This window comes from Homo sapiens, chromosome 10, assembly GCF_000001405.40.
Source record: "Homo sapiens chromosome 10, GRCh38.p14 Primary Assembly".
In the NCBI taxonomy this organism is placed as follows: Eukaryota; Metazoa; Chordata; class Mammalia; order Primates; family Hominidae; genus Homo; species Homo sapiens.
The window spans coordinates 101,399,618-101,424,653 of NC_000010.11; the positions used below are offsets into that span (position 1 = coordinate 101,399,618).

General features: G+C 39.0%; 1 protein-coding gene across 12 annotated transcripts in view; it reads left to right on the forward strand.

Moving 5' to 3' along the window:
* Positions 1 to 25,036, forward strand: part of BTRC (beta-transducin repeat containing E3 ubiquitin protein ligase) — a 203,266-nt gene that overhangs the window by 45,570 nt on the left and 132,660 nt on the right. For 2 of the 12 annotated variants that reach the window (XM_017016871.2, XM_047425983.1), the window contains exon 1: positions 7,830 to 7,916. The exons of 8 other annotated variants lie outside the window; for them this stretch is intronic. The gene's annotated coding sequence lies outside the window, so the exon portion shown is untranslated. Of the gene's footprint in view, positions 1 to 7,829; positions 7,917 to 8,133; positions 8,249 to 25,036 lie in introns of those variants that run through there. 2 more of the 12 variants (XM_017016873.3, XM_047425984.1) reach the window with 2 other exon arrangements.

Genomic DNA, 25,036 nt, shown 5'->3' on the forward strand with positions numbered 1-25,036 from the left:
TAAAGCTAACAGATTTTAATAGATTTGCAAACAGAAGTTTGCAAGCAGAAGTTTGTAAATCTGTTAAAATGTTTTACATTAAAATTTGATGCACTGATTTTTAGATTGGTGTCTAAAGTAGGCAATATCATCAGGTTGTGCATTTGAGATTTACCAGTTTACATCTTGGCTTATGATAAATTGGATTGGAAGATCAGGTACTTTATTTTCCTGGAAGAAAAAAAAATTAGGTATATTCATCATTCCCATTTCACAATTTCTTGTCATATCTCACTTGCTTCAGAAATACTCATTTTGGATCCTTCTTGTGAATATGTAACTCTTAATACTAATGTCCTGAGAGAAAGGAGAATTTCTTGTCTAACCTCAGTAATAACCATACCATCACAAAAGAAGGCCTCACAATGTATCAGGCAATCAAATAGCCAATAACCTATTCTCCTGCTAAATTCCATAAACTGGATGGGGAGGGTAGATAATGTTCATTTTTGTTACTTACCAGGGAACATGACACTTGGTCTTTGAAATTGTTATTTATTTCATATATTGTAGCTGCCAATCAGTCAGTGATTTGCAAATAGCAAAGTAAATACACTGCTGAAAATGAGTTTCTTCTTTGTGCTGATCTGTGATGTGCGGGAAATCAGATGTAATATGGTTGCATTTATTTATGTAGGCATCTATTCTCTTTCTTAATGAGCAAGTAATTTTCTTTTCTCTACTTCTACACAAAAGTTAAATTAAGGAGTACCCAAGAGGGCTGGGAAACTTGGTTTGCAGTCATTGAAATACTGCTGAGTATCGGGATCCTTTCATGAGTGGAGTTTCCCTCTCCTTAAGAAGAAAGCTCCAGATAGCTCCCTTTTGAACTCATTGTTAGAGCAAACACATCTGTAGAGGAAGATGATCCATAAGTCTAATGCTAAGGATTTGCCTCCTCTCCCTATCAATGAGAAGGGTTTGCCTCCTCTCCCTGTCAAAGGATTTTACTCTGGCTTATTTGGCTGTTTTTGCCTGGGAAGTGAGGGGCAAGAGCTCTGATCTTTCCTATGACGGCCAGCCTGGCCTTAATATGTAGATTATTAACATGATACCAGCCTCTGTTGAGTCATAGCAACTGCTATGAACAAACATGTAAATCCATCTAGGGGAAGAAAAGAGTGTTGCAAATGCCTTTCATCAAAATGGAAGACTACTTCAACTTCTATTTGCTCTTCTTGTTATAACCAAGCTTTTTCTTTTTTCATTTTCCTCTGCCTTTCTTTCCCTCCTTTTTTCCGTCCCCACTATCCTCCATCTTTCAGAAATATCAAAAGCTGAATCTTCCCACCGAACACTGCAATCATTTGAAATTTGTGTATAGGCCAGCTTCACATCATCAGAAATTGTGTAACCCCATGATTCCCAGGCCTCAGCTGGTAGTGTAGTTATTTCAAATAATATTTAATACAATAAATTCTATGGCAATAAAAGAATTTGGACAGTCCCTTCGAACTTATTGCAATGAGATTTGACTTGAATTTAATACAATGAAGTTTCAGAATAGCCAAGTAATTTTGTTGTGGCATGATTTAAAGGGTATTTAAGTACAGGTATAGGTGATTGAGTTTGTAAAACCTAATCAGAGGTAAATTGCAGTTTTACTCTTATCACGTGAATGAGCATTCAAAAATACAGAAATTCTTTACTTAGCATAAGGTGATTTTTAACAGTGTGGCAAAGAGTGTAAGTGAACATCCTTAACTTTTTGTTCTGTCAAGGGGAGAATAAAGATACCACCTGGCTGTATGTATAAATTTGCTTACTAAGATGGTTGATTGATTTCTTTTAGGTGGGTATTAAAAGTGGCTTTTTTGGTATAGAAAACATGTAGCATCAAAGCAGTGTTGTGATGCCCTGCTGTCTTCTGATGTTGAATATTTTATGGGATTAAAAACAATTGTTTTTATCTTACTCTTTCAGATTCAACAATCTTATAGTAAAAGCAGCCATAGACTAAATATTTAGAATTTATTATGCTGATACAAATGAAAGAAACATAAAATACAAATATTGAGTGAATTAAGAAAAAGAGGCTGCTTGCAGTGGCTCACACGTGTAATCCTGGCACTTTCTGAGGCTGAGTCGGGAGGATCTCTTGAGGCCAGGAGTTTGAGGCTGCAGTGAGCTATGATTATGCCACTGCACTCCAGCCTGGGTGACAGAGCGAGACCTCATCTCAAAAAAAAAAAAAAAAAGAAAAAGAAAAACAATGTTTCTTTCTAGAGTGCTTAGCAGGGCAAAAAAAGAAGGAAAAAAGAAAAACAGAATGTTGATGTTAGAAAAATTTGGTTATTGTCTTATGCTCTGGAGTTCTTACCTCAAGCCAGTGACTTTTAAGATCTGTTGTTTTCTGTACTGAAGCAGAATAGTGAAAATGTTTTTATAGGAAGTTATGAAAAAAAGTCTATATTAATTTGCTTTGGGTCATTCTAGTCTCTCTGGTAAATTCATAATTAGGAAGGCCTTTTTAAGGCTGTATGCTAGTCTCACAGGTACACAGCTACTTCATATCTGATAAATCTAAATTCATATGTGAGGAGGTTATGTTTTTTTAAAGCATATTATTTACACAATTCACTGGAATGGCTCCTTTGGAAGTTGGGTGACTCTCTTATGTAATTATATACTTAGTAACCCTGCTCTACAAAGCAGTAGAAATTCAAGTAAGAATAATTTACTGCTTATGCATAGTTATTAGAATTTTAAAGCATTTGTTTGTTCAAAATTCTAGTTTATCAGTGTTGTATTTGACTAATTGCCTACTTAATAAATAATGAATATAATTTATTTTAGAAGGCACCCAAATTTTAACAATTGTAAATAAACATTAGGAGCTGCTCCCCCTCTTCGCTTTCTTGTTTAAAGGGATTCTCATCCCTTTAGTCCAAGTTTCGTGGAGAAAATAATTCCTATCTTAAAAATTCTATATTAGAAGTATTATAGATGGACTTAAATTACAGAATTGTGGAATTTTATTGCTGTAAGGTAGTTAGAAATATCTTATTCTATCCATTTTACCAGCAAAGAAGGTGAAGTGTATAGAAATTAAGTGAACTTCTCAAAGTCATACAATTGGTTTGAGGACAAGTCTGTTCCACAACCTGATATGTCATGCCTTCTCAGTTGTCATGATAATTCAGCAGTTCATTTCACCAGGGATTCCTTGAACACTGCTGTGTGTACAACAGTGGGCTAAGCATCCAGAGGTTATAACAATAGTGTGAGTTTATATGGTCTAACAATAATGATATCAGACTAGTAATATTTTACATTTGAATCTCAGTTTTATCTGGTGTTTTCTAATGTTTATAAATGTTAATGTGTGGTGGCTAAACCTTTAAATCTCTTTTTCTCTACTAGATTATAACCTCTTTAAAAGCAGGGACTCATTTAGCTTTTGTAAAGTCAATCCAGTTTCATTTTTAAAGACTTAAATTAAAATTTCTAAGCATTGATGGCATTGTTGGAATAAATGTAGCTTCCTGAGGTGTCTTCTCTGGGGACGATACACATTTTAAAATTGTATTTCTGTTTTCATCAAGTACTTTCCATTTCAAGTAACAGATTGCTTCATTCCCCCTTTAAGCAAGAAGGGAGAGTATTTTAAGGGTACAGAGATAGCTCATGGAACTAAAGGGAAAAAGATGGCCAGTAAGGCCCCATAAGGACTTGGAACCAGGCATTGGAATACCTTTAGGACACAAGGCAGCCGCCCTTGCATTCCTAAGATAAATCCTACTTAGTCATGGTGTATATTCCTTTTTCTGTGTTGCTGGATTTTATTTGCCATTATTTTGTTGAGGATTTTTGCCTATATGGCCATAAGGGATATTGGTCTGTAATCTCCATTCTGCTGTTGAGACCATCCAGTGAGTTTAAAAATTTTATTTTCAGTTTTCTCATTCCCATTTAGTTCTTCCCCTGACCCCCTTTTTTTACTTCCCCACTTTGAGACAGGTCTAGCTCTGTTGCCCAAACCAGAGTGCAGTAGCATGATCATGGCTCACTGCAGCCTCGACCTCTCAGGCTCAAGAGATCTTCCCACCTCAGCCCCTCAAGTAGCTGGGACTACAGGAATGTGCCACCAGGCTTGGCTAATTTTGTAAGAAATTTTCTGTAGAGACAGGGTCTTACCCTGTTTTTCAGGCTTGTCTGGAACTCCTGGGCTGAAGCAATCCTCCTGCCTTGGCTTCCCAAAGTGCTGGGATTATAGGTGTGAGCTACTGCACCTGGCCCATTTAGTTCTTTATATCTGTTGTTTCTTTGCTGGTACTCTCTTTCTTTCAAGAGTGTTTTTAGTTATTGGAACATTTTAATCCTATCTATGTGTATGTGTGTGTGTGTATATATATATATATATATATATATATATTTTTTTTTTTTTTTTTTTGAGACAGAGTCTCGCTCTGTCACCCAGGCTGGAGTGCAGTGGCGCATCTCAGCTCACTGCAAGCTCCGCCTACCGGGTTCACGCCATTCTCCTGCCTCAGCCTCTCGAGTAGCTGGGACTACAGGTGCCCGCCATCATGCCTGACTAATTTTTTGTATTTTTGGTAGAGACGGGGTTTCACCGTGTTAGCCAGGAGGGTCTCAATCTCCTGACCTTATGATCCGCCCTCCTCGGCCTCCCAAAGTGCTGGGATTACAGGTGTGAGCCACCGCGCCCAGCCAATCCTAGCTATATTACAGTCTTTGCCTTTAAAGTTAATTTCACCGTCTGTGCCATCTTGGTATTGGCATCTGTTGATACCAGTTGAAGTTTTCCCCTTTTTAGTATACCAAGTAATTTTTGCGTTATATCCTTGGCTTTTTTAATATTATGCAACTCAGTTTTGTTTAAATTGTATTGAAAATGTTGATATTTTTGTCAGGCATTCAACCCAGTTGGCTTCAGTCTACAAGTTGAGATTTCTGTAGGATTGTGGTTTCAATGTCTGTTACATTTTGAAAGCCTTTGCAGTTCTATTGAGATATATTCCATGCGTGTGCCACTTGATGGCCATTGTGGAATCTGGATGATAGTCCATCTTGTAGTTCAGTTCTCAAAGTCTATGCCTGGCCGAGTGCAGTGGCTCACGCCTGTAATCCCAGCACTTTGGGAGGCCGAGGTGGGCGGATCACGAGGTCAGGAGATCGAGACCATCCTGGCTAATATGGTGAAACTCCATCTCTACTAAAAATACAAAAAATTAGCCGGGCGTGGTGGCGGGTGCCTGTAGTCCCAGCTACTCAGGAGGCTGAGGCAGGAGAATGGGATGAACCCAGGAGACAGAGCTTGCAGTGAGCCTAGATGGTGCCACTGCACTCCAGCCTGGGTAACAGAGCTAGAATCCATCTTAAAAAAAAAAAAAAAAAAAAAGTCTATGCCTTACTGTTTTGGGTTATATCCACCCATGTGCAGCTTGGGGGTGAACATAGGAGTTCATTAACCACTTTATGGGGCCATTTTCTTGAGTTCCTCCCTCTGTACAATCTCCCCAGTACTATCTGGTTCCCTGGGGCCGCCTTTTTCAGTCCTCCAGCCAGAAAGCTAGGACTTTATTTAATCCTGCATCTGTTACTGCATATGGGGCTACGCAATGGGAGGCTAGAGGAAAAAAAAAAAGCAATGAGGTTTTGTCTCACCCTTTTAGGATCACAACTCCTCTGATCAGAGAGGAAGGTTTCCTTACTTCAGAGTTTTAGCCTTCTTTGGGTCTCTGCTTCTGCTGTGGCTTTCCTCATGGAATTGCTTTGAGAGAATAGCAAGAACTTTAAAGAAAAATGGGAGATTTTTGCCATTCTCTCTGAGTGTTACGATACTCCTTCTGCACTCCTTAAGCTAGAACTAGAGGGCTTTTCCTGGAGCTCTCTTTACTGACACCAATACCCACTTGTGGGTTTCAGGCAGCAGTCCAGGCTGGTGGATACTGGAGGAATAATAAAAAGATAAATTCATTATTGGTTCAGTGTTATGTAAAAGTCTTCTCCAATTACCTGCTAGTATTTAATTTTTTGAGTCTTCAAATAGTTGTTCTATATGTTCTGTCCATTTCTTAGTGGTTGCCTTCAGTGGGAAATACAGGATGGAGTGCACTTACTCCATCTTACATGGAACTAGAACCCCTTCTAGTTAATTATCCTTTTGATATTGATTTATGCTAGTCAACAACATACACTGCAAGTTCAGTCCTTTGAACTTCCTTCATGGCCCATCTTAAGGTCTGTTTTGGTAAAGTGTAGCAAGTGTGCTTGAAAAGAATGTGTGTGTATACTGCAGTTGTTGGGTGAAGTGTTCTAGATAAATCATTACATCAAGTTTATTATTACTGTGCTTGTCACTTCTTTGTTGCTTATTCTATCAATAGCTGAGAGAGTTATGTTAGGCTCTCAAACTATGTAGATTTGTGTATTTTCCCTTTAGTTCTGAGTTTTTTGCTTATTTTGAAATTGTTAGTAGTGGTACATATACTTTTAGGATTATTCTCGATGAATTAACCTTTTTATAATTATGAAATAGTCCTCTTTATTACTGCTTATACTTTTTTTTTTTTTTGAGATGGAGTCTCGCTCTGTCTCCCAGGCTGGAGTGCAGTGGCGCTATCTCAGCTCACTGCAAGCTCCGCCTCCCGGGTTCATGCCATTCTCCTGCCTCAGCCTCCCGAGTAGCTGGGACTACAGGCGCCCGCCACTACGCCCGGCTAACATTTTGTATTTTTAGTAGAGACGGGGTTTCACCGTGGTCTTGATCTCCTGACCTCGTGATCCGCCCGCCTCAGCCTCCCAAAGTGCTGGGATTACAGGCGTGAGCCACTGCACCCGGCCTACTGCTTATACTCTTTGTTCCGAGGTAAACTTTCATGTTAACATAGCCATCTCAGGTTTCTTTTTTTTTTTTTTTTTTTTTTTTTTTTGAGACGGAGTCTCACTCTTTCACCCAGGCTGGAGTGCAGTGGTGTGATCTTGGCTCACTGCACCTCCACCTCCTGGGTTCAAGTGATTCTCCTGCCTCAGCCTCCCAAGTAGCTGGAGTTACAGGCACGTGCCATCACAGCTAGCTAATTTTTGTGTTTTTAATATAGACAGGGTTTTGCCATGTTGGCCAGGCTGGTCTTGAACTCCTGACCTCAGGTGATCCACCCACCTCAGCCTCGCAAAGTGCTGGGATTACAGGCGTGAGCCACCGTGCCCGGCCTCAGCTTTCTTATGACTGTTTTTATGATACAGCTTCTTTAAGCTTTTTACTTTTAATTTATTGGTATACATTAATAGATAATTGTGTCGGTTTTTAAATTAATCATCTGTCCTGATCATCTGTCCTGATCATCTGTCCTTCTTTGTTTATACTTGCACTGTCCAATAGAAACATTTACCACAGATGCCAACCAAGTATATACTTTTAAATTTTCTTGTAGCCACATTGAAAATGTGAAATGAAGCTGGGCAAGGTGGCTCATGCTTGTAATCCCAGCGTTTTAGGAGGCCGAGGTGGGAGGATCAGTTGAGGCCAGGAGTATGAGACCTGCCTGGGTAATATAGCAAGAACTTGTCTGTACCAAAAAAATTAGGCGTAGTGGTATACACCTGTAGTCCCATCTACTTGGAAGGCTGAGGCAGGAGGATCTCTTGAGCTCAGGAGTTTGAGGTTCTAGGGAGCTGTGATCATACCACTGCACTCCATCCTGGTTGACAATGAGACCATGTCTCTTACAAAAAAGTGAAAAGAAAGTTGAAATTTTCATAATGTATTTTATTTAACACACCGTAATTTTTTATTTTTGTTTTTATTTCTTTGGAAACAGTCTCGCTTTGTTGCCCAGGCTGGAGTGAAGTGGCGTGATCTTGGCTCACTGCAAACTCCGCCTCTGGCTTCAAGTGATTCTCGTGGACTACAGGTATGCGCCACTACACCCAGCTAATTTCTGTATTTTTAGTAGAGATGGGGTTTTGCCATGTTGCCCAAGCTGGTCTTGAACTCCCGAGCTCAGGCAATCCGCCCACCTTGGCCTCCCAAAGTGCAAGATGACAGGCCTGAGCCACTGTGCCCAGCCTAACACAGTGTAGTTTAAACATTAATTTTTTTCTTTTTCTTTTTTTTTTTTTGTGAGACAGTCTCGTTCTGTCGCCAGGCTGGAGTGCAGTGGCGCAATCTCGGCTCATTGCAACCTCCACCTCCCAGGTTCAAGCAATTTTCCTGCCTCAGCCTCCCAAGAAGCTGGGACTACAGGTGCGTACCACCATGCCCAGCTAATTTTTTGTATTTTTAGTAGAGACAGGGTTTTACCATGTTGGCCAGGATGGCCTCGATCTCTTGACCTCATGATCTGCCCACCTCGGCCTCCCAAAGTGCTGGGATTACAGGCGTGAGCCACTGCGCCTGGCCTAAACATTATTTCAAAATATAATTAATATAGAATTATGAATTAGATATTTCACTTTTTTGTATTAAGTTTTTAAAAATCAATGGGTATTTTAAAGTTGTAACATATTTCAATTTGGACTAGCCACCATTCAAGTGCTCAGTAGCCGTATGTGACTAGTGGTTATTGTATTGGAGAGTATGTTTAGACCATACATTTAGTGTAGTGATCAGTATGGTTAAATTTAAATTGATCATTTTGCTATTTATTTGTTTTTTCCCATCTGTTCTTTTTCTTCTTTTTTTTTAAATTTATTTTCTTTTTCTGAGACAGGGTCTCACTCTGTCACCCAGGCTGAAATGCAGTGGAGTGATCTCTGTTCACTGCAGCCTTGCCCTCCCAGCCTCAAGTGATCCTCTCATCTCAGCCTCCTGAGTAGCTGGGACTATAGGCATGCACCACTATGCCTGGCTAATTTTTGTATTTTTTACAGAGACAGAGTTTTGCCATGTTGCCCAGGCTGGTCTCCAACTCATGGACGCAAGCGATCTGCCACCTGGGCCTCCCAAAGTGTTAGAATTACAGTTATGAGTCACTGGGCCTGGCCCTTTTTGCCTTTAAAAAAATTTTCCTGCTTTCTTTTGGATTTATTTTTTGTTACTATTTAAGTATTCCATTTTATGCCTTCTATTGGCTTACTAGGTACCTTTGTTTTGTTTTAATGATTGCTTTAGAGGTGACAATTTGCATGGTAAAATATTGAGGTTGGCCGGGCACAGTGGCCCACCCCTGTAATCCCAGCATTTGGGAGGCTGAGGCAGGTGGATCATCTGAGGTCAGGAGTTCAAGACCAGCCTAGCCAACACGGTGAAACCCTGACTCTACTAAAAATACAAAAAAATTAGCTGGGCGTGGTGGTGGGCGCATGAAAGCCCAGCTATTTGGGAGGCTGAGGCAGGGCAATCGCTTGAACCGGGGAGACGGAGGTTGCAGTGAACCAAGATTGTGCCACTGCACTCCAGCCTGGGCGACAAGAGCAAAACTCCATCTCAAAACAAAAACAAAAAACAAAAAAAGCCACACAAAACATTGAGGTAAAGTTCACATAATATAAAATTAACCATTTTAAAGTGAACAATTCTGTGTAGTTTAGCAACTACTACCTCTATGTAGTTGAAAGACATTTACATCATTCCAAGTAAAAGCTTTTATCCAGTAAGCAGTTTCTTTCTATTCCCTTCCTTCAGCCCTTGGCAATCACCAATCTGCATTCTGCCCATATGAATTTATCTATTCTGGACATTTCATATAAATGGAAGCATACAATATGTGACTTTTTGTGTATGACTTCTTTCACTTACCATATTTTTGAGGTTTAGTCATGTTATAGCATTTATTAGTAGTTTATTTTTATGGCTGAATAATATTCCATTGTATGTACATACAGTCATGTGTCACTTGATGGGGATACATTCTGAGAAATGTGCCATTAGGTGAGTTCAACATTGTGTGAACGTCATCTAGTGTACTTACACAAACCTAGGTAGTATAGCCTACTATATACCTGGGCTATATGTTATAGCTTGTTGCTCCCAGGCTACCTGGACAGCATGTTACTGTACTGAATATTGTAGGCAGTTGTTACACAATAGGGAGTATTTGTGTATCTAAACATACTTAGACATAGAAAAGATGTAGTTAAAATGTTGGTATTATCATCTGTGGGACCACCATGGTATATGCAGTTCATTGTTGACTAAAAATGTCATTGTGCAGTGCGTGAGTTACCAGAATTTGTTTATCTGTTTATTCGTTGATAAGTATTTTTGGGCTGTTTTCAACCTTTTGCCAATTTTGAATAATGCTACTATGAACATGTGTATACATGTATTTGTTTACCTGTTTTTAATTCTTTGGATATATACCTAGAAGTAGGTATATACCAAAATTGCTATGGTAGTTCTGTGTTTTATTTTTTGAGACACTGCCAAATTGTTTCCCGTGGTTACTGAACTATTTTATATTCCCACCAGCAATGTATGAAGGTTCCAGTTTCTCCACATCCTTGTCAGCACTTGTTATTTTCTGTTGTGGGTTTTCTTGTTTTAATTGTAACGTCAAAAGCTTTTGAGACTGGACAGGAGTTTACTGATAAAGCTTCTTCTAGTACATCTGGATTTCCTGGTATGCTTCTCTCCTAATATATCTGGATGGCTGCTTTTTAGCTTTCTTTAGTTCTTTTTTTAAACTTACCATACTAGTGGGTGTGAAGGGTACATTATCGTGGTTTTGATTTTCATTTTCCCAATGACCGCTGATGTCAAGAAGAGTACCCTGGCTGCGCAGGGTGGCTCACACCTGTAATTCCAGCACTTTTGGAGGCCAAGGTGGGCGGATCATGAGGTCAGGAGTTGGAGACCAGCCTGGCCAACATGGTGAAACCCCGTCTCTACTAAAAATACAAATATTAGCCAGGCACGATGATGCGTGCCTGTAATCCCAGCTGCTTGGAGGCTGAGGCAGGAGAATTGCTTGAATCTGGGAGTCGGAGATTGCAGTGAGCCGAGATCATGCCACTGCACTCCAACCTGGGTGACAGAGCAAGACTCTGTCTTGGACAAAAAAAAGGAAGAGTACCCTTTTAATGTGCTGTTGAGAGTAATATCTTTTCAGTTATTTTGCCCATTTTTTAATTGAGTTGTCTTTTTTTATTTTTTTGAGTTGTAAAAGTATATTCTGGATAGTCAACTGTTCTTAGAGATATGATTTACAAAACAATATGCATCTTTAACTTAACACAGCCTGGAAATATTTCACTTCACATATACTGTATTTTCAGTTTTCTACATTCCTATCCTTTGTGTTATTATTGTCATACGTTTTGTTTTCATGTATATTATGAACACTGTAACTTATTATTTTTGCTTAAATTGCTTACTTTTTAAAAAAATTTTAAATGAAACAATTTTAAAAATATTGACATTTGTATTTCTGGCACTTTTTTTTTTTTTTTTTTTGAGACAGTGTCACTCTGTCGCCCAGGCTAAAGTGCACTGGGGCAATCTCAGCTCACTGCAACCTCTGCCTCCTGGGTTCAAGCAGTTCTCCTGCTTCAGCCTCCTGAGTAGCTGGCATTACAGGTGCAGGCCCCTACGCCTGGCTATTTTGTTTTTTCAGTAGAGATGGGATTTCACCATGTTGGCCAGGCTGGTCTCGAACTCCTGACCTCAAGAAATCTACCTGCCTCGGCCTCCCAAAGTGCTGGGATTACAGGCATGAGCCACTGCACCTGGCCATTTCTGGCACTTTTTATAGTTTTGTATGGGTTGGTCTATTATCATTCTTCAGATATATTTGGAAATATGCATTTTCCAAATATATTTTCTGCTTCTGCCCATCCCTGTTCTCTAATTTTCTTTTGAGACACCAGATATGCATGTGTTAGACCACTTACAATTTCCTATAGGTCACTGAAGCTTTGTTCAGTTTGTTTCCTTAGTCTTTTTTCTCTTAGTGCTTTATTTTTGCTTCCTCGGGTTCACTGATCTTCTACAGAGTTTAAATGTGCTGCTAGTCCTATTTCATGAAATTATCATTTCAAACATTGTATTTTTCATTCTGGAACTTTTTATTTCATTCTTTTTTTATACCCTACATCACTATGTTCATGTTATTATAGCTGTTTTAATTTTTAGGTCTGCTAATTTCATTGTCAGTTTTTTTCTGGGTCTGCTTCCATTGACTGATAGTCCTCCTAGTTATGAATCATATTTTGTGCCTCTTGTCTTGTAATTTTAGATTTAGTTGTAGACATTGTGATATTACATTTTTGAATATTTGTATTTTAAAAATCTTTTTAAAAGGATGTTGAGTTTATTTTGGTGCTCTTAAGTTTTTTGCAGATCAACTTGATGCTCTTGTGGCTGATTTTAAGCTTTATTCTGATAGTTTTAGTGTAGCTTTTATTCTAGTGTAGTTCATCCCAGCAACTGAGATGTGAGCTTTCTAAGGCTCCTAGTGAATGTCATAAGTATTCATTAGGCTTCTGAAATCTGACCAGTCAGAACAGAAATGTGCCCCAGGTCTGTGTAGTTTCTAGTTGCTGAGCTTATAGTTCTGTTGTAGTTTTTTGCCTAGTGTTGTGGAATTTCACTGTATGTATACAGGACTTAGTATTCAGGAACTGAGTCAGGGGTGTCCTATTCAGGTATTTGGAACCTTTTTCTACATAATTCATTCTTCAGTATTCTGCCTCACTAATTCTTTTTAGCCTTCATGTATTTTGTTTCCTCAAGTAAGTGGTCCCATTGTACTCTGTTTGAGTTCCCCTTTCTTGTGCAGCAGCCTGGACAGTACCTTCGGGTAGAAGACTAGGATAATTTTAAGGGTCACCTTATTTGTTTCCCGTCATTCAGGGATTACATTCTGGCATTGTTTGTTGTTCAGTGTCTTGAAATATATGTTTCACATATTTTGTTCAGTTTCTTGATGGTAGGAAGATAAGTTTGATACCAATTATTGCCTTATGGTAGAATCTAAAGTCTAGTGCTTGTTTTTACTTTAGAGTTTAATTTTATTTAAACTTAATGTACTAGAAGTCCTCATATTACATATTTCTAATGTGCATAAATTTCAGTTAGCACAATTTAGTTAAGTGACACTAGTCACCCAATACCATGGTTCCAATTTCAGTTACCATAGTATATTAACTATGAGTAACTATGTAAAGTACAAACTTCATTGCTAGTACTCCAGTCCACACATGACTATGTGAAAAACAGATACACACTAGTCTATTTACTTCAAGGTCTGTTGGCGATTAAGTTTATATACAGACAATAAAGTGTCTAGTTGTATTGTCTTTCCCAATGTTAAGCCCACATGATATTTTATAGAAATAGATAATCAAAAGTGGAAATTGGCCAACAGATATGAAACAAAGTAACAAAAAATGATAACCCTTTCATTGAAATTTGAGAGAAATGTAAATGAAGTTATAGAAGAAATAGTTGACCATAGGAAAATTGACACTGTCACCATTTGATAGACTCTAGATATGCAGCCAGAGGAACTTATTGAAGGTGAACTTATTAACATAAATGAGGGAAGTGGTTTTTTTGTTTGTTTGTTTTGGGTTTGTTTTTGAGATGGAGTCTTGCTCTGTCGCCCAGGCTAGAGTGCAGTGGTGCAATCTCGGCTCACTGCAACCTCTGCCTCTCACTGCAACCTCTGCCTCCTGTGTTCAGGCAATTCTCCTGCCTCAGCCTCCTGAGTAGCTGGGATTATAGGTGCCCACCACCACGCCTGGCTAATTTTTGTTTTGTTTTGTTTTTTTGACAGAGTCTCGCTCTGTTGCCCAGGCTGGAGTGCAGTGGTGCAATCTCGGCTCACTGCAGGCTCCGCCTCCAGGGTTTACACCATTCTCCTGGCTCAGCCTCCCGAGTAGCTGGGACTACAGGCACCTGCCACCACGCCTGGCTAATTTTTGTATTTTTAGTAGAGATGGGGTTTCACCATCTTGGCCAGGCTGGTCTCAAACACCTGGCCTCAGGTGATCCACCCGCCTTGGCCTCCCAAAGTACTGGGATTACAGGTGTGAGCCACTGCACCCAGCCTGAGGGAAGTGGTTTTGATGCAAAAGATGAAGATGTCCCAGAGGAAATCTTTACATTAAAGGAAAAAAAAACTTTATATTAAAAGACCTTGAGATATTTCACAAAATTGAAAGTACAAAGGATAAAATGTTAGATTGTGACCTTGCTTTGTTTCTAATCTTCTCTTAAACCAATCTAATGAATTCTTAATTTCAACTTTCGTGTTTTTTTATATACAGGATTTTCATGTTATATATTTTAAATTTTAGATTCCAATTTTCTGGTGTAACTTTTTAATCTGTTTTGTTGAATATCTTAAATATGGTTATTTTAAAGTCTGTGATTACTTATCACATTGGGGGCTGTTGTTTTTAACTGTGTTAATATGTACATACCATAAAATTGACCATCTTAACCATTTTTAAGTGTACAATTCAGTAGTTTTAGCACATTCACATCATTGTGCAACCAGTCTTCAGAACTTTTTCCTCTTGCAAAACTGAAATTCTATACTCATTAAATAACAACTCCCCATTACCCATCACCTCTCAGCTCCTGGCAACCACCATCCTACTTTCTGAATTTGACTACTCTAGGTAACTCATATAAGTGGATTTATACAGTACAGGCATGCACTGTATAATGACATTTCAGTCAGTGATGGACTGTGTACACGATGGTGGTCCCTTGAGATTATAATGGAGCTGAAAAATTCCTATCACCTAGTGACATTGTAGCCAATGTAACGTCATATAATGCAAGGCATTATTCAGGTGTTTGTGTTGATACTGGTGTAAATGAACCTGCTGCACTGCTAGTCATAAAAAAGTGTAGTACATACTATTATGTACAGTACATAATACTTGATAATAAACAACTATGTTACTGGTTTATGTACTTACTGTACAGTATTTTTTATTGTTATTTTAGAGTGGGCTACTTCTACTTATTAAAAAAAATTAACTGTAAAACAGCGTTAGGCAGGTCCTTCAGGAGGTATTCCAGAAAAAGGCATTGATGTCATAGGAGATGACAGGTCCATAGATGTTAATTGCTCCCAAAGACCTTCCAGTGCCATAAGCTATGAAGGTAGAAGACAGTGATATTGATGATCCTTGCTCTCTGTGGGCCTAGGCTAATGTAATGTGTGTGTTCATGTGTTGGTTTTCAACAAAGATGTTTAAATAATATATATAATATATATTTTTTAAATAGGAAACAACTTATAAAGATGTAAGGAAAAATATTTTTGTACTGCTGTACAATATGTTTGTGTTTTGAGCTAAATGTTATTACAAAAGAGTCAAAAAGTTTTTAAAAACTAAAAAAATTTATAAAGTGAAAAAGTCACAGTAAGCTAAGTTTATTACTAAAGAGACAAAAGTATGTTTTAATAAATTTAGTCTAGCCTAAGTGCACAGAGTTTATTGGCCATCTTAACCATTATAAAGTCTATAGTAGTGTACAATAATGTCCTAGACCTTCACGTTTATTGACCACTCATTCAGTAACTCACCCAGAGCAACTTGCAATCCTGCAACCTCCATTCATGGTTAAGTGCCCTATATAGGTGTACCATTTTTTATCTTTTTGTCTTTTTTTTTGAGACAAGGTCTTCTGTTGCCTGGGCTGGAGTGCAGTGGTGAGATCTCGGCTTACTTCAGCCTCCACATTCCAGGCTGAAATGATCCTCCTGCTGCAGTCTCCCGAGTAGCTGGGACTACAGGCATGTGCCACCATGCCTGGCTAATTTAAGTATTTTTTGTAGAGATGGGGTTTCACCATGTTGCCCAGGCTGGTCTTGAACTCCTGGACTCAAGGGATCTGCCCACCTCAGCCTCCCAAAGCCACCACACCCAGCCACCACTTTTATTTTATTTTATTTTATTTTATTTTATGTTATGTTATGTTATGTTATGTTATGTTATGTTATGTTATGTTATGTTATGTTATGTTATGTTATTTTGAGACAGAGTTTCACTCTTGTTGCCCATGCTGGAGTGCAATGGCGTGATCTCGGCTCACTGCAACCTCTGCCTCCTGAGTTCAAGCGATTCTCCTGCCTCAACCTTCTGAGTAGCTGGGATTACAGGCATGCGCCACCATGCCTGGCTAATTTTGTATTTTTAGTAGAGACAGGGTTTCATCATGTTGGCCAGGCTGGTCTGGGACTCCTGACCTCAGGCGATCTGCCCGCCTCAGCCTCCCAAAGTGCTGGGATTACAGGCATGAGCCACTGCGCCTGGCCCTTTTAATCTTTTATACTGTATTTTTACTGTACTTTTTCTGTTTAGATACACAAATACTTTCCACTATATTGCAGTTGCCTACAGTATTCGGTACAGTAACATGCTGTCCCTGCTTGTAGCACAGGAGCAATATGCTCTACCTATAGTCTAGGCGTGTGGTAGTACCTTCTAGATTTGTGTAAGTACACTGTGATCACACAGCCGAGAAATCACCTAGTGATGCATTTCTCAGAATGTATCCCCTTTGTTAAGTGTCACATGACTGTATTTGTCTTTTTGTGACTGGCTTATTTCACTCAGCATAATGTCCTCAAGGTTCATCCATGTTGCAGCATGTGTCAGATTTTCCATCCTTTATTAGGCTGAATAATATTCCATTGTATGCATATACTAGATTTTAGTTATCTACCCATCTGTTGATGGCCATTTGAATCTGTCTACTTTATTGTTTGCCTTTTCCCCTGGTTTTTGTTTGTTTTTTAATTTGGCCATTTGATCCCTTTGCTTTGAATGCTTCGTAATTATTCATTGAGAGCTAGATATTTTTTAATGAAAATGTTAGAGACTCTGAAATCATTCTTCACAGGGTGTTGAATATTCTTTTCACAGACATATCCCTTTGGTTCAGTTGAGGCATCTCTGTTTTTGGTGCCCTTCATTGTTCTGGTTCATGTGACTCTTCCATGGTGTCAATTGAAAGCCTGAGTTGTTGTTGTTGTTATTGTTGTTGTTGTTTTTTACCAGGGTACCTTGTCCTATATGCACCCTATACTCCAGTCTTTGGCTCCACAGCATCATGAGACTGCTGAAATACACTTCAGACTTAGTTTTTCAGCATCTTACTCTCTGCGTGTAAAATTTAGGAGTCAGGAAATGCCGTAGGGGAAAAATTATACCCAGAATATCAGGTTAACCGTAATGCATTTCCCTTCTGCCTAGGATCTTTGCCCCTAAAGTTTTGGCTGTATTAGTTGTTCTCTCTCTCATGGCTTCCATTTTCTATATTTTATTTAGCTTCTATAATTTTCTGCATGAAATTTAGTCTGATAATAATTACTACATTATGACCAAAAGCAAAATCCCAGTATGTATTTTTATTAATTTATATTCCATGTTTTATTTTTAAACATTCTCAAACTACAGAAGAGTTGTAAGTAAAATGCAAATTGTTTTTTTTTCATAAACCACTTGAGAATAAGGTTCTGACATGATGTCCCATCACCTCTGAATTCTCTGTGTATTTCCTGCAAACCAGAACATTCTCCCATATAACCCAATAACAACCATCAGAATTAAGGAAATTATTATTGGCATATTATTTTGTCATCTAATCCACAGATCCCATTCAAGTTTCTCTAGTAATCTCAGTCAATGTCCTTTATATAATAGAATAAATATCTAGTTCAGGATCACATGATACATTTAGTAGTCATACCTCTTTAGTCTCGTTTACTCTGGAACAGTTCTTCAGTCTTTCCTTGGCTTTCATAACATTGACATTTTTGAGGATTACACGCCAGTATCTTGCAGAACATTTTTCAAATTGGGTTTTTCTGATGTATTCTCATGATTAGATCCAAATTAGGTATCTTCGACAGGAATATCACAGAGGTGATGTTGTGTTTTTATTGAATAGTATCAGGTGACACATAATGTGAATTTCTTCCAATATTAGTGATATTAATGTTGATTACTTGATTAAGATATCAGGGTTTTTTTCCCACTATAGAATTAACTTTATATTTTTCCAATTAAAACGAAGTAGTATTTTGTGGGGAGGTATTTTGAGACTATTTAAGTATCCTCCTCCTTATCAAACTTACAGTTTATATTTTGTTTCATTTTATTTTATTTCATTTTAGAGATAGGGTCTTGTTCTTTCACTCAGGGTGGAGTGCAGTGGCGTGATCCTCATTGTAACTCCTGGGCTCAAGTGATCTTCCTGCTCAGTCTCCCAAGTAGCTGGAACTACAGATGCGTGTCACCATGGCTTCTTTTTTTCCTGTTAATTCTTTTTGTAGAGGCAGGATCTCAAAATGTTGCTCTGACTGGTCTCTAATTCTTGGCCTCAGGCAATCTGCTGGGTTACAGGTGTGACCCACCACACTTGTCCCCAGTTTATTTTTTATGTCATTAATGGAGTCATAGATTTCAACTTTATTCAGTGGCTTATTTTATTAGTTATCTATTATTACATAACAAATTACCTCAAATTGAGTGGCTTATAATAACACATACATTTAGGCTGGGCACAGTGGCTCACACCAGTAATCCCAGCACTTTGAGAGGCCGAGGCAGGTGGGTCATTTGAGGCCAGGAGTTCAAGACCAGCCTGGCCAATATGGTGAAACTCCATCTCTACTAAAAATACAAAAAATTAGCTGGGTGTGGTGGCGGGTGCCTGTAGTCCCAGCTACTCAGGAGGCTGAGGCAGGAGAATCGCTTGAACCTGAGAGGCGGAGGTTGCAGTGAGCCAATATTGTGCCACTGCACTCCAGCCTGGGTGACAGAGCAAGACTCTGTCTCAAAAAAAAACAAAAACACAGACATTTATATTTTTTTGGGGGGGTGATTTACAAGTGAGTTGTATTTAAACTTTAAATGGCGAATAGTTATTACAATATTAAATTTTTCAAAAATATATAGAAAAATGAATACTTAATACTTATTTTCAATAAATTTTTATGAGCTCCAGTATTTCAGAGTGCCACCTCCCAAAATGACAGCATGATATACCTTGGCAATAGTTTAGACCTCTTCTAGAATTTTCTCACATCTGCTTTTTTTTTGCCAAACATATATATGTTTATATTTTTTCTCCCTGGCTGTATTGCTGTATAATTGGCAAACAAAAATTATTATTATTATTATTTTTTTATTCTGGGGTACATGTGCAGGATGTGCAGGTTTGGTACGTAGGTAAACATGCCATGGTGTTTTGTTGCACCTATCAACCCATCACCTAGGTATCAAGCCCAGCATGCATCAGCTCTTTTCCCTAATGCTCTCCCCTGACCCGCCCTCCTGGCAAACAAAAATTACATTTAAGGTGTACAACATGTTGTTTTCATATACATATTCATTGTAAAATGCTTGTCTCAATCAAGCTAATTAACATATCTGTAACCTAGCATACATGTAACATCTCACAGTTTCTTTTCTTTCTTTCTTTCTTTTTTTTTTTTTTGATACAGAGTCTCGCTCTGTCACCCAGGCTGGAGTGCAGTGGCACGATCTTGGCTCACTGCAACCTCTGCCTCCCAGGTTCTGGCAATTCTCCTGCCTCAGCCTCTGGAGTAGCTGGAATTATAGGCACACACCACCATGCCTGGCTAATTTTTATATTTTTAGTAGAGACAGGGTTTCACCATGTTGACCAGGCTGGTCTCGAACTCCTGACCTCAGGCGATCCACCCACGTCGGCCTCCCAAAGTGCTGGGATTACAGGTGTGAACCACTTCGTCTGGCCAGTACCTCACAGTTTCTTTCAATCAGGAGTCTGGGCACAGCTGACCTGGGCCTTCTGCTTTAGAATCTCTCTCACAAGGCCATAATCAAGGTGGTGTCTAGGGCTGAGGTCTCATTTGAAGGTTTTATTTCGAGAAAAAGCCACTTCCAAGCTTATTGTTGTTGGTGGTGGTGGAATTCTTTTCTTCAAGGGCTGTTGGACTGAGCCTCAATTCTTAGTTGTTTGTTGACTGGGTCACCGCCAGGTCTGTGCCATGGGGACATCTACAGTATGACTGCTTGTTTCATCAAAGCGTGCAAACCAAGAAGGCAATAGAGTCTGTTAGCAAGATGGAAGTTGCAGTCTTAACCTAATTAGGAAAATGGCATCACATCACCTTTACCAAGGGCATGCATACCAAGCGGTGGGAAACATCGGGGGGCATGTTAGAGTTTGCCTGCTACCGTTATCCATTATTATCATTATTTAGTTTGATATTCTAATTTTCTCAAATGTAGCCTGCCTCAGTCTTTCACTCTGGCCCCTGTATTATTTTGACATGTCTCTGTCATTCATTGAGCACCTCAAGAAGATATTCCAAGCTCCTCTTAAACTTTCCTGTCCAAGCCCTCGCATTGTTCTAAGGAGCTCTGGTTCCTTTTAGTGGAGAGTGATATTTTGAATCATTAAATGTGTTTGTTGCTATTAGGTTGCTCCTAGGCCCTCTCAGTTGGTAGTCAGTCTGTGTGTGTCTGTGGGTATATGTGTACATATATATATATATATCATGAATATATTATTTACCTAGGAATTTCTCGGTGTAATACATTGTAAGATTTCAGCTTACAACAACATCCTCAATTCTAGTTCAGCAATGTAATATTCATTCTAGTTTTCTTTCTTTCTATACTTGTAACTTGTTTTTCTGATTATGAGAAACCTAGCTCTTATTATCCTTTGTATTTGATCTGCCACCTTTATTTGATCAATCTTCCTGTATAATCCATCTCCTGTTGCTGACATATCTCTCGCTCCATTTCTCACCCCATACTTCATATGCATGCCTCCCTCACCCTTTTGGGATCCGACAGCTTGCACTTGGCTGCCCCTTCCACCCTCCTCACTCCACTGGGTCTGAAACTCACTGCTGGACCACTGCCTCTCCCTCTCTTAATGCATGCCTTCTTCTGCCGACATGGGCAACCCTCACTGCCATCCCCCCACCCTCCACTGCCCTGTGTGGATGTGGACATCCTCATCATTCTGCTCACTGCTGTTACAGTTCCTACGTGGTAGCCTTCCTTGTTCCATTAGGGCTCTGTCACCTCATGCTGGGTCCCCCTCCCAGCAGATTTTTTCCTATCACTCTGCTTAGTCCCTGAAACTCTGTGCCCTGTCCTTTTCCCTCTCGGGAATACCCTTTTCCTACTACTTGGACTCCAAAAGCCTGTTTTGGGCCACTGTAGTCAACTCTCTGCCACTTAGCTTGATGCCTCCTTTGCCTGTACTCACCTATTGAACTGTTCAGGTAGGAAAGGAGAAGAGGGAGAGGTATCAGTTAAATTTTATTTTTGAAAAACTCACTGGTATTTTTACAACAAATGCTTTTAACTTAGTTTGTTATTACTTACATAGAAGTCAGTTACTCCCACATCTCTGTAATCGCTACAGGTTTATACTCATATTTTCATGCCATATTTTTCTTACATACTAGATAGAGGTTTACTATCACATCAGATTCATGATTTCTGAACTTGGTTACTCCCTGCACCCTCCAAACGAGTTTCAGTTTACCAGTGTCTGTCACTACCACTACTGTTCTTCTAGTCATTCAAGTTTGAAATGTTGAAGTTAATTCATTTTTCCTTATGATCAGTTATCCAGTCCTGTTGATCCTTCTTTTGATGTACGTTATCTTCTCCATGGCCATTACTTTAATGAATATAATAACCTCTTGGGTGCGATTTCTTTATTTAGTTTGTGTAGTCATTCCTGTGCCCCTAAACCATTTTGGCTTCCCATTTCTTAATGAGTGAAGTAACTCCATGTTTAACTTTTAAAGTGCCATTTTAATGTAACACTATTCTAGATAGTCAGAATATCTAGTTTTGACTCCCATCTTTGTTGCTTACTAACTACTCATCAACGTGTAATTTATTTAACCTCCCTGGGTCTGTTTATTTTTATTTTATTATACTTTAAGTTCTAGGGTACATGTGCACAACGTGCAGGTTTGTTACATATGTATACATGTGCCATGTTGGTGTGCTGCACCCATTAACTCGTCATTTACATTAGGTATATCTCCTAATGCTATCCCTCCCCCCTCCCCCCTCCCCCCACCCCACAACAGGCCCTGATGTGTGATGTTCCTCTTCTGTGTCCAAGTGTTTTCATTGTTCAATTCCCACCAAGAGTGAGAACGTGCAGTGTTTGGTTTTTTGTCCTTGTGATAGTTTGCTGAGAATGATGGTTTCCAGCTTCATCCATGTCCCTACAAAGGGCATGAACTTATCCTTTTTTATGGCTGGCTACTATTCCATGGTGTATATGTGCCACATTTTCTTAATCCAGTCTATCATTGTTGGACATTTGGGTTGGTTCCAAGTCTTTGCTATTGTGAATAGTGCCACAGTAAACATACGTGTGCATGTGTCTTTAGAGCAGCATGATTTATAATCCTCTGGGTATATACCCAGTAATGGGATGGCTGGGTCAAATGGTATTTCTAGTTCTAGATCCCTGAGGAATTGCCACACTGTCTTCCACAATGGTTGAACTAGTTTACAGTCCCACCAACAGTGTAAAAGTGTTCCTCTTCTCCACATCCTCTCCAGCACCTGTTGTTTCCTGACTTTTTAATGATCACCATTCTAACTGGCGTGAGATGGTATCTCATTGTGGTTTTGATTTGCATTTCTCTGATGGCCAGTGATGATGAGCATTTTTTCATGTGTCTGTTGGCTGCATAAATGTCTTCTTCTGAGAAGTGTCTGTTCATATCCTTCACCCACTTGTTGATGGGGTTGTTTGTTTTTTTCTTGTAAATTTGTTTGAGTTCTTTGTAGATTCTGGATATTAGCCCTTTGTCAGAGGAGTAGATTGCAAAAATTTTCTTCCATTCTGTAGGTTGCCTGTTCACTCTGATGGTAGTTTCTTTTGCTGTGCAGCTCTTTAGTTTAATTAGATCCCATTTGTCAATTTTGGCTTTTGTTGCTATGGCTTTTGGTGTTTTAGACATGAAGTCCTTGCCCATGCCTATGTCCTGAATGGTATTGCCTAGGTTTTCTTCTAGGGTTTTTATGGTTTTAGGTCTAACATTTAAGTCTTTACTCCACCTTGAATTAATTTTTGTGTAAGGTGTAAGGAAGAGATCCAGTTTCAGCTTTCTATATATGGCTAGCCAGTTTTCCCAGCACCATTTATTAAATAGGGAATCCTTTCCCCATTTCTTGTTTTTGTCAGGTTTGTCAAAGATCAGATAGTTGTAGATGTGTGTTATTATTTCTGAGGGCTCTGTTCTGTTCCATTGGTCTATATCTCTGTTTTGGTACCAGTACCATGCCGTTTTGGTTACTGTTGCCTTGTAGTATAGTTTGAAGTCAGGTAGCATGATGCCTCCAGCTTTGTTCTTTTGGCTTAGGATTGACTTGGCAATGCGGGCTCTTTTTTGGTTCCATATGAACTTTAAAGTAGTTTTTTCCAATTCTGTGAAGAAAGTCATTGGTATTGATATTGATTCTTCCTATCCATGAGTTTTTTTTAATTAAGTTAAATTTTTTTTATTTTCCAGTTTTTCATAAAAATAGAGATGGGGTCTAGTTATGTTGACCAGGCTGGTCTTGAACTCCTGGTCTCAAGCAGTCCTCCCACCTTGGCCTCCCAAAGTGGTGGGATTATACACATGAGCCACCTTGCCTGACCCTCTCTGGGTCTTATTTACCTTACTAGTTTATTATACAGGTGAATGAATTGGGGAAGAGCTTGTTCCGCAATTCATTGCCAAACAATGAATTGTTAGACTGACAAAGCTAACTAACAAAGCTTGTTAGTTTGTTATACAGAGAATGTTATACAGATGCAGCTTGTTAGTTTGTTATACATATAGTAACAAGTGCTACAATAAAATTAAAGTCTGTGACTGAGCTTTTCTAAATATTTGAAAATTTACCTAAACTTATAGTAGCTGTTGTCTAATGCAATTTAGTACATTGTTAAATTTTTTCTTGTAGTTACTATTTGTTAGTAGTTTATCTCCTTGAAATAGAGTGTAAACTACTTGAGTCTGTGGATTTGTGGAGACAAACACATTTGAGTATTATTTCTGCCATTGTCATTTAGGCACTATAACTTCACTGAACTTGAGTGTACTCTCTTGTTAAGGCAAAAGTACTAATAATTCTTTGACAAGAAGGTAATGCTTAAATGAAATAATGTACTTAAGGGATCTAGTACAATGCCTGGCAGACAGTTTATTCCCGGTAAACTTTACTTATCCTCTTTTTGTACTCCACCTGTGCCCACTTTGGTAATGAAAAAATAAATGGCTTCCCAGAACAGTTTGAAATGCAAGTGGCATTCACAGAAGCCTATTCCTGGTGATGATGCCATTTATATTTTTTTCTTTTGCACTTTGCAGCTTTTAGAATCCTTATTTTAGCCGGGTGAGGTGGCTCGTGCCTGTAATCCCAGCACTTTGGGAGGCCAAGGCAGGTGGATCACCTGAGTTCAGGAGTTCGAGACCAGCCTGGCTAACATGGAGAAACCCTGCCTGTCTCTACCAAAAATACAAAAATTAGTCAGGCGTGGTGGTGCATGCCGGCAGTCCCAGCTACTCAGGAGGCTTAGTCAGGAAAATCACTTGAACCTGGGAGGCGGAGGTTGCAGTGAGCCGAGATCATGGCATTGCACTCCAACCTGGGCAACAAAAGTAAAACTCTGTCTCAAAGAAAAAAAAAGAATCCTTGTTTTAGTTTTACCACAACCTTGTGCAATAAGGCTGGGCAGATATGATTATCCTATCTGACAGGTGGGAGTTTTGTTTTTGGAGTGAACTAAATTGGGATTCTTAAGAGGCAATCATTGGATTTGTAGGTAAAGTCTGAATGTATTACATGATTATGGTATACTGCATTTCTCTGAATTTCTTAGTTGATATAGTAGTGAAAAGGGAATTCTTCTATTCCATGGCTTAAGGATACGTAAACTCTCAGTACAGCAATCTTTTTATTGTTGATTATTATAGCTTCTGTTACTCCTAGAAGTTGACCAACAGGGACCTTAATTTAGGAGATTTTGTCATTCAGCTTTCGTATAGTAAATGCTGAGGCTAGCCCTTTGCCTGCAGGGCTATCAGTGAAGAGG